We start from the raw sequence: 10,660 nt of genomic DNA, 5'->3' as shown, positions 1-10,660 counted from the left end.
TGGTCTCTGGTTGAGGGATCCCATTTTGAGTGGGGCATTTGCCAAGTCACTTCTCCCTGTTCCTGCTGGGGCTGGGGATGATGAACCGAGTGAAGACACAAACTCTGAGAGGGAACCAGGCAGACAGGCAGACTGACAAGGAGGGCACTGCCTGGTCTAGTTACCATTCGCACCCAGTCAGAAGAGGTGAAGGGTGAGAGAGGAGGCTGCTGGGAACTGGAATATTAGCAGCCAGGAAGGCCAAGAAAGTGCAGGCTGACAGTATAGGCCAGAGGCTGGAGACCCTGGGAGGGAGCTTTGTTGTTCCCTCTGAGCCCCAGGGTGCAGGAGAGGGTCCTTTTCACCAGGGAGCTTCAGCCTTCAGGATGATTTCTGGGCTCTGCACTCCACTGATCCTCCATGAGGACTTTAAACAGCAAGATGAGGTACCCAGGGCCCTAGGAATCTGATTCTCATATACCCTGAAATACCTTTACTAAAAATATCATCCCTATGTTTTGCTTATTTCTTATAACATATAAAACATTAAGCCAAACCACTGTACAGAATTTATTAATATGTAGATATGAGGTGTCTGGTGACAGATCCTCCAAGTTATTTATATCAGAGGAAGAAAGTGGTCTGGCTGCATTCACAGATGAGAACAGCAGGGTAGCAACACTCAGGACCATGACACTGGGTGCTCCCAACCCCGAAGGGAAGCATCTCACTGTACACAGATGGCCAGGAGAGTGATCACAGGGTCCTGTGTTATCTCCTCCTCCTCCTCTCCTGGGTCCTGGGCTTCACTTCCTAATCTCAGCTGGTAGCAAAATTAACTTGGTATTCAAGACCCTTATGGCCCCTCTTCACCATAGCATCTCATCAGGTCTCTTTCCTCATAAGAATTTCAGCACAGGGGTGTACTCTAGAAATATCACCATGGAAGGGGTGGCAGAGGCAGCTCATCTCTAACTCCTCAAATAGAGAGGATGGAGCCACAGTCCTGTGCCTCACCCATCCCATGGTCCTGCCTCAAATACAGTCTCCTCCTGCAGGCTGCTGGGTCCTCTTTATTGTCATTCTCCAGATGGTGACAGGGTCCCAGGCAGACGTGCTCACAGCTTCCTTGGGGCCTGATACCAACAGGAGTTGAGGCCAGGGAGCAGCTTTGGGCTGTAGCGATCTTTGGATTTGAAGGTAGGGGATGGTGATGGGCTGCCCATAATGCTCTAGGTGTAAAGGCTGAGAGTGGCTGAGCTGAATCTGGTCATTACCATGTTCTCCACAGTTTGAGAGCTGCCTTGTGCAGACCAGCAAGACACAGATAGTTCTCAGCCCCCTTATATCTCTGTGGACCCTGACTTTTCTTCCCCCAGCTGCTGTCCTCCCAAGCACAGCCCCGGGAGGATGTAGGGAGAGGGACCCATTCCCCTGATGCCCCAGAACCCCTTTCATGTAATCCCAATATCCAGGCCTGGGGTCCCCTTCTTTGGATCGACCTTTCTTTTCTTGGAATGAAAGGGTTACAGGGTCTCCCTCCCAGATCTCCACTGTGACTCACTCACCCTAAATAGATGTCTTGCTCTACAGTTATCTTCTGCATAGTGTTTTCTGAAGATGTGATAAAATATTATAAGCCATTAATAAAACATGGAAGTTAGGTTCTCTTTTTGGATTCTGAGGATCTGCTGTGCTGGGGCAGGGGCAGGTGGGGAGAGAAGGGCAGGTGGAGGGGCAGGAGCTGAGTGGTGTGTGGCCTCGCTCTGTGCCCAGTAAAGCTCCTGCTGTGGTCATCTCTTGTGTATTTGTCTGGATCCCTCCATGTGCTGGGATTTGTGCCTGGTCTTTAGGGGCGGGTGCTGCTCCAGGTCGGAGGCCTCACACATCTCCAGGCTGAGCCTTTCTCCAAGTCCATGGAGGTCACGGGCTGAGAATGGCCAGTCCCACTCCTGCCTTGAGTTTCACTTTATTTGGCATATTTTTATATGTTGATCTGATCCTTCTCACAAGGGATGTTTATGAGCATTATTTCATAGGAGAGCCACTACCATCCCGCCGTGGCCATGCTCTGTCCCTGACACCAGGATCCTGGGTGCTTTGTTTTTGTTCTCCCCTAAAGTCCCGGGACAGCCTCTGCACGTGGGGCTTCTCAGATGACACAGATTGATGATTTCCACCTTAGCCTTCTTTCCTCTTCCATTTCCAGAATACTTCTATTTTTTTCTTTTATTATACTGTCAGATTTTCAAGTTAAGGGCTGGGCACAATGGCTCACACCTGTAATGCTAGCACTTTGGAAGTCCAAGTCAGGGGGATTGCTTGAGGCCAGGAGTGGAAGACCAGCCTGGGCAACATAGCAAGACCCTGTCTCTATGAAACAAATCGAATTAACACCATGAATACATGTGTTATTGTCATGTCATAAATAAATTCTTGTCACTTCTTCTGTGGGACAGTCAGGGTCCTGGCAGGAAAGAGATGACAAAGAAAGAAGACACACATTACAGAGGTGCTGGCAGGCCTAAGAAAGCCACAAGGGGTGCTGAAGCTCCCTGGGATGATCAGTGGCAGGAAACTGTTTCCATCTCTGAGTTGAAAGAACAAGGAAGAGGGAGCAGTTTCCAGAACTCACGGAAATCTGTAGCTTTCACTAGGGGCAGCCCTGCAGGCCTGTGGCTGTAGGTAGAGGACGGCAATGATTACAGAACCGCAGAGCTGTCCAAAGGGAGTGAGGGAAGTGAAAACCCTGAGTTACTTCTCCCCCCACGCTCCCATCTCCTGCAGGTGCCTGTTATCATCCACACCCAAGCAGAAGCAGGTGGTGCAGGAGCACAGGCCGTGCTGTCTCTGTGGTGCCCCCAGTGCAGGGGGCAGGATGGAGGAGAGTGAACCACAGCTCTGTGGAGGGGAAGCAGAGAATAATGCACTCACCTGCTTACGGTGTTCACATTCTTCAGGGAATTTACTTAAATATACCAGAGTTTGTTCTAATCCAAAAATATGACTTTAAAAAGAAGTATCTCACTTATAAATGCATAGCAGGTAGTAAAATTGAGTATTACCTCACTCTCCTTCCCTTTCCCCACATGGGACTGTATAACTCATAAATGAATAACTTGATTTATTATTATTTTTTTAAAATAACTTGAATTATTTGGGTGTAAGCCATAAAAGCAGAGTCTGGCTCAGATCAGCAAAGGGAAGTTGTTGGGCAGCTGGCGGTGCAGTTCACAGAATCACAGATACTTTCAAAGTACCAGGACAGCACCGAGGAGCAGGCGGCAAGCCCTGACCAGTCTCGTTGGACTAGACCATGGAGTGAAAGAATCGTCACTGATACTGATAGCTTGTGACTGCTGATGCTTTAAATTCTGAGACAGTTTACCCAAATGGCTTAGTTTAGATCTCATGCATTTCTTATTTTCTTGTGATTTAATTTCAGGGATAGAGTCAATATCTTCCCTTAAGGGAAGTTCCTTTCCTGTTTATCTTGTTAAACTAGGTGGAAGGGGAAGACTTTTTCAAGTTCCCATGGACCCATATACATCATGACATCAATCTAATTGCTCTCATCCAGTGATACGGTTTGGCTGTGTCCCCATTCGAATCTCAACTTGAATGGTATCTCCCAGAATTCCCACATGTTGTGGGAGGGACCCAGGGGGAGGTAACTGAATCACTGGGGCCAGTTTTTCCCATGGTATTCTTGTGATAGTCTCACGAGATCTAATGGGTTTATCAGGGGTTTCCGCTTTTGCTTCCTCCTCATTTTCTCTTGCCACTGCCATGTAAGAAGTGCCTTTCACCTGCCGCCATGATTCTGAGGCCTCCTCAGCCATGTGGAATTGTAAGTCCAATTAAACCTCTTTTTCTTCCCAGTATGTCTTTATCAGCAGCGTGAAAATGGGCCAATGAGAGGGGCTATTTCCTCCACCACCAGTGGCGCTGTGGGAGGCTCTTCTGCACCCATATTGCAGCTCAAACCCATTAAAAGGGGAATCAGAGAGCTGGGCTAGGCATTTCCCTTCCCTACACTACAGGAATCCTAGTTGTGTTTCCCTTCTGTTTGATAGACTTAAATCTAGATAGTCACTAAGTTGCTGTGTGGTCACGTTTTGGAGAGAAAGGAAAGCAGGCAGGAGTGAGGACACTGGCACCCCAACTGCTGCCTGTGGGCACCTGCACATTCATGCTCCACTCTCACACTCACACTTACACACGTGTACACACACTCCAATTCCCACTTGTGCACACATGCACACACGTGTGCAGCCACACACACACACTCAAGTCAGCACTGGAGGATGACACTTCCCAACACCCTTGTACCCACGTGCCATTCTTGGGGATTTGTGCGGCTGGAGGCAGGAGGTCCTGAGGAGGCACCACCAGGGACTACCACCAGGGGGAGGGTTGAGTGAGTGGGGTCCTGCCAAGGCACTGGTGGATGGGATGATACCTACGGGATGCACTGGCAGGGGCAGACGTTTGCTCCAAGGCCATCTCCCTTCCATCTCCTCTCCCTGCTCAGGCTCAAAGCCCTGACCTGAGGCCCAGCTAGAAAGGCAGAAGGCATCCTCCCACACAGAGCACACAGCTCCTTCCCTGCATCAGAACCCTCGGTGGCACCATCAAGTTGGACAGATATAGTCAGGCGAGGTGGGGGGTCACTGCAGAGGACAAGAAGGTCCTGTCCTGGAATCTGCAGCCAAACACCTTTGGCCACAGACTGAAGGCTGCACTGTCAGCTTCCCTACTTTTGAGGTTTTGGGACTTGGACTGATCCATCACTGGCTTTCTTGCACCTCAACTTGCAGACGGTCTGTCGTGGGACTTCACCTTGTGATCGTGTGAGTCAATTCTCCTTAATAAACTCCCTTACATATGTACATACATCCTATTAGTTCTGCTCCTCTAGAGAACGCTGACTCACACAGTGGGTGAGGCAGGGAGTTGCGTGAGCTGCCCAAAAGCCACCAGGAGCCACTCTCTCCAGGCTTTGGCCTCACTTCAGTGCCAGGCCCTGCCACAGCCCTTGCCCCCATCCTACTCTGCCACCCCCAGCTCCCTCCCAGCCTGACCCCAGACAGAATCCAGAACAACTCCTGTTCCTGACCTGAAAAATGTTCTTGCCAGTTTAGGCAGAACTTGCTTTAGAGCCCTGGTGTCCAGCCCGCCACAGGTCTTGTGTCTGTTTCTCTTGGCACTGTGTCTTTTCTCACTTATTCTTCTGAAACTCTGCAAGGCAGGAATTATGTCACTGGTTTGCAGATGAGGAAACTGGCTCAGATGGTTTCATTCAGCACTCACTCACTGGGCAAGTGTCTGTCGGGGCCAGCTCTGGGTCAGATGTGCTCAGGCCTCTTCAGCTGGCTGGTGGGAGGACCTGGAGGGTTCATGCCCAGGTCCAGGCCCATCTGACTTGAAAGCTTTTCCTGACTTTGCTTCAGTGCTGATTTCCCCTTTGCAGGTGCACCTTCCACTGTGCTTTCCTTTATTACTGTTTGCTGACACTGCATTTTTTCCTTTGCTTTTTCTTTCTTTCCATCTTTCTTTCTTTTTTCTTGCTTTTTTATTTATAGACCGAATGTTTGTGGCAACCCTGTGTCAAGCAGGTCTATTTGGCACCATTTTTCCAACAGCATGTGCTCACTTCATGTCTCTGTGTCACATTTTGGTAATTCTTGAAGTATTTCAACCTTGTTCATTATTACACCTGTATGGTGACCTGTGGTCAGTGATCTTTGAAGTTACTCTCGTAACTGTTTTGGGACACCATGACCCACACCCTTATAAAATGGTGAACCTTATTGATAAATGTTGTGTATGTTGTGACTTCTCCACCAACTGGCTGGTTTCTTGACTCTCTCTCTCTCTCCCGGCCTTCCCTATTCTGTGAGACACAAAAATATTGAAGGCAGGCCGATTAGTAACCCTACAATGGCCTCTAAGTGTCCAAGTGAGGAGAATAATCTTGCTGCAAACTTCGTTGTGTTATTTTAAGAAATTGCCACAGCGATTTCAGCAACCACCCTTCTGATCAGTCAGCAATTATTAACATTGAGGCAAGACCCTCCACAGCAAGAAGGTTAGGATTAGCTGAAGCCTCAGGTGATTGTTAGCATTTTTTAGCAATAAAGTAGTTTTACATTAAGGTATGTACATAGTTCATTTTGTACATAATGCTATTGTACACTTAAGAGACTACAGTCAAGTGTAAATATAACTTTTATATGCACTGGGAAACTGAAAAATTTGTGTGACTTGCTTTGTTGCCATGGTCTGGAGCCAAACCTGCATATATCTGAAGTATGACTGTAATTTCCCTTTCCCTCTTCTTGCTGGCCCAGAATGACCTTGTTTCTTGCCCCTGTCTAGCCCTGCATGCTGTAGGGGTTTGCCTTCTCTGGTAGGTCTGGGCACTTTGTATCCCTTGTAACTCTGGCTCCTGGAATATGACACTGGTACAGGGCTCAAGCTCTGTTGGACTAGTGAGCCTCCTCCCATTCTTCCTGAACTAGAACCAAAGCTCCGTGCACACACTGTGCATGTGTGAGCCTGTGTAGAGATGTCGGCTTCCTGCAGCGTGTTCTGAAGGGGTGTCCTGTTGTGACTGAGGGCACAGCCACAGGCCACTGGGCAGAGGTGGTTCAGAAGGGAGTGGATGGCCCCAGTTTTGATCATCTGAAAACAGGGAGGTCCTCAGAGAAAAACCAATGTCTTAGAAGGCAAAACTGCCCGAGAGTGGACAATGGCTAACCAGGTCACTACCTGGGACATCACTCTGCACTAGGAGGGAAGATGGCCTCTGCCATGGTATAGAGGTCCAGGAACCAGGCAGGGAGGCCTTCCCGGTGGTCAGTGCTTCTCACAATTGGTAGCTAAAGTAACTTTAGATGAGGCCAAAGGCCTCATGTTCCTCACTAGCTGACTTGTTCCCACTCAGTGGAAAAAGAACACAGAAACTTTGTAAAATGTTAGGGGAGAGGTACTTTCCCTCTTGACTCTTAGTGCTAGGGTTATGCATGACGCATACTTGCATTGCAATGTGTACACAGCTTAAAGTCTTAATCATTAGAATATAAGAGGCCCAAACTACTGTTTTTATACATATGTGAAACTGTACATATAAGGTTAAACAACCTGCAACCAGTTAACTTTGAAGATACATTTATCACATTTGTAGATTTTCAAACAATATTGGCAGGCATTTAGAAAAACAACAAATGAGACTCTTGCAAGACAATCTAAATGATACGCTGATAACATTGCTTCATGAAGAGGACATTTGAACCATCTGAGTTTCTGCCTTAGGTTATAACTCCAAAATGGACGAACCCCCAATAGTTTATAGCAGGCAGCCCCAAGCCACAAACAAATGTGTCAGTGCAGACCTGAGACCTGGAGTGAGTCCCCCTCCCCCAGGGACATGAGTGAATCCTCTAAGACCCCTCTTCCTCCAGGCCCTCCATCCAGTCATCAGGGAGACAAGAAAGGGTCCACACAGCACTGAGGCCCAACTATCTCCCTGTCCTCACCTCCATGGACAGAGCCCAGGTGAAAGCCACCCCTGAGCCTCCTCCCTCGTCTCCCACAGCCTCAGCACCATCATCTGCCTTGAGTCCACCAGGACTGAGCTCATCATGCCTTTTCCCTGTTTGTGTCAGTCACACTGGGTCCCCCAAACACCCTGCATTCACATCCCCACAAGGCTCTGCACACCCCTATTTTGTCTCCCCATACCCCATTCCCAAATCCAGAAGTCTTCCCGCTGTGCCCCTTGGAATTCTCAGCCCATGATCAGCAAAACCTCCACATCCTGTCTCAGGATGTTCCTGGACCTCACAGCTCCAGCGATGTCTGTGTCTGCCAGAGGATGTGGTCCCTTCCAAAGTCCTCCCACATGGGGGAGTTTGCACAGGGACCTTGTACCCTTGGCCCAGAGGTGGGGTGGCATCCTCACTCCTCACTGTGGTTCTCAGACCTTTCTGCCTCCTTCCTTCCTAAGCCCCCAAAGCTGTCATCAGATTCAGGCCCCACTCCCCTCATTGCAGCCATTCCCTGTGGGCCCCAGGCCGTTCCTCTCAGTCCTGACTCTTGTAGTTCCTGGTTCACTATCGCCCTCTCCAGCAGTGCTGTCTCCTTGATCCTCGGTGACTTCAACATACTCAGATGTGATGGGCCGAGTAATGGTTCCCAAAGACGTCCAATCTCAATCCTGGGCACCCACGAGTAGGTTGCATTACATGGCAAAAGGGAAAATACTGATGTGATGAAGATTAAGGACCTTAAAATTGCAAGATTATTTTGGACTATCTGTGTGGGCCCGATCAAATCTCACAAGCCATTAAAAGCAGAGAAGCTGCTCTGGCTGGAGTCAGATGCTGCAGAGGAGGAAGGCAGAGGAGACACCGCAGAAGGGGGAGGTCAGAGGTTCCAAGCAGGAGGATTGGATATGTTGCATGGGATATGTGTGAGGAACTGAGAGAGGGCTCTAGGAGCTAAGGGTGGCCCCTGGACAGGAGCCAGCAAGGAAGTGGGGATCTCAGTCCTATCTGCAAGGAAGTGAATTCAGACAAGAACCTGAATGAGCTTGACAGTAGATTTTTCCTCAGAGTCAGAAGGAACACAGACCTCCCCTTACCTTGATTTTAGCCCCATGAGACTGTTGAAGTTGTAACACACATGACTGTGACATGATAAAGAGATGCTGTTTAAAGCCACTTGTTTTGTGTTAATTTTTATGGCAGCAATAAACACCCATAGAGCAGAGAGGATGCATCGCCCTCTGGCTTCTCAGATGCTGGGACTCCTCTCCTCCATGACCTTCTCCTCCCTCTGCCTGAATCTCATGCCCTTGTCATATAAGCATTATTTTGTAGGAGAGCTGCTATCATCCCGCCATGGCCATGGTCTGTCCCTGACACCAGGATCCTGTTGCTTTGTTGTTGTTCTCCCCTAAAGAGTCCTAGGTCTCATCATGGCCAAGAACCCCAGCCCTTCCATACTCTCTATCTCACACTTCCCATTCTCTGACCATCTTTCCACTCATCCCCTTGCACGGAGGCCACAGGCTCTGAGGATACTTATACTATCATTTTATCATATGCTGTGACGTAATATCAGTGAACCACTCATTGCCTATGTGCCTGCTTTCCAGGCTTGGAGTCTGCCCTGTAGTACATCAATTCCAACAATCCTTCCACCCACTCTGGGATTCCCAATCCAGTGATCCTGCCATCTACTCACTGTCCCTCACCCTTGATGTCCTCTCCTCCCTCTTCAGCCATTTTGAATTCTATTGTAAATAATTTCCATCCCTCCCTTGCCCCTCCCTTGCGTTGCCATACTTGTTTGGCAAAACTACACAGCTGGTGGAATCCACCTCTGCCTACGCTGCACCTGCCCCCATGAGCTGAAGGAGGCTGGAAAGCAGCACACAGCATGCTGACTTCTCTCTCTAACTTCATGACCCAAACCTCATGGGGACCCCCCACCACGACCAGCAATCACCCTCTCCAAGCATGGCTCACCCTCAGCCTCCTACTGGTCTGGGTGACTCTCACACACCTTCTCTCTGCTCACACATCCAACCTTCTATCTGCATTCTTACTTCAGCTGATGACCTTGCTTCCTACTTCACTGAGAAAACTGAACACACTAGAAGACAATTTCACAGATTCCATCTGCTCATGCATTTGCAGCTGCACTGCATGCTGGGTCTTCTACCACATGGATGGTTGTTGTGGGTTAACCTTCCCGCTCCCAGCCAGAGGCAGTCCCTCTACTGGTGTCCCAAACATCATCCTTCTCATCTACTTAAAGGTATCAGTTCATCAGTTCATACCTTTTTTTCTCTTTGATCATTACCCTTTGTCCTTTCTCCCCACTGGATTGTTGTGGCAGTCTTGAGAATGCACATCCCAGCCCCTCAGCTAGAGGAAGCACAGCTGATGATGCTCCAGCTGTTGCCGCCTGAAATCTATTGCTACGTTTGCTCTCAGACCATACTTGCCATTGGCTTCTTCGATTCAATAATTGAGAGAACAGGAGAAACAAAGACAGGATTGTCTCTCCTTTAAAGGCCCACTGAGGCTCCAGGGCTCACCATTACTGAACTTCTCTTAACCTGCACTGGGTCTAGGATACTTTCAGCCAAACTTCCTTCCCTCTCTCCTTCACTGGGGTTTAAACTTGCATTGCAGTCTGGTTGGGCACAGTGGCTCACGCCTGTAATCCCAGCACTTTGGGAGGCCAAGGTGGGCAGATCACATGAGGTCAGGAGTTTGAGACCGGCCTAGCTAACATGGTGAAAACCCGCCTCTACTACAAAGACAAAAATTTGCCAGGTTTGGTGGTGCATGCGTGTAATCCCAGCTACTTGGGAGGCTGAGGCATGAGAATCACTTGCACCTGGGAGGTGGAGGTTGCAGTGAGCTGAGATTGCTCAAAAAATAAAAATAAAAAAGCCACTTGCATCACAGTCTTATGGCTTTCCCAGTCTTTTCTGTCTTGCTCCCCAATTTCTTTCATGGCTATTTCCCCTAATAAATCCTGGCACATTTAATTCTGTATTGCAGTCTGCTCCTCAGGGGATGCTAACCAACACAAGTGGCTTCAGGAGTGGTCCATAGACACAGACAAAAACGGGGATTGGGCCTGAGCTTGCCCACTGCCT

The 10,660-nt window shown here is 48.9% G+C and overlaps 1 long non-coding RNA gene across 1 annotated transcript, besides 1 other annotated feature; it reads right to left on the bottom strand.

The window, feature by feature from the left end:
- Nucleotides 3,851–4,351: an enhancer, noted in NCBI's record as "H3K4me1 hESC enhancer chr6:31442899-31443399 (GRCh37/hg19 assembly coordinates)". NCBI's record gives its function as "activates a minimal SCP1, AML or CMV promoter by ChIP-STARR-seq in naive H9 embryonic stem cells {active_cell/tissue: H9 hESC(naive)}" and the evidence as "EXISTENCE:reporter gene assay evidence [ECO:0000049][PMID:30033119]".
- Nucleotides 7,065–8,244, bottom strand: HCG26 (HLA complex group 26). Its single transcript, NR_002812.3, has one exon. It is a non-coding gene; the product is annotated as an HLA complex group 26 (long non-coding RNA).
- Between the last annotated feature and the right edge of the window lie 2,416 nt (nt 8,245–10,660).

The sequence above is a fragment of the Homo sapiens genome, chromosome 6 (assembly GCF_000001405.40).
Source record: "Homo sapiens chromosome 6, GRCh38.p14 Primary Assembly".
NCBI lineage: Eukaryota > Metazoa > Chordata > Mammalia > Primates > Hominidae > Homo > Homo sapiens.
The sequence above is the reverse complement of the archived record's forward strand: the minus strand, read 5'-3'. Positions and strand labels throughout refer to the sequence as shown.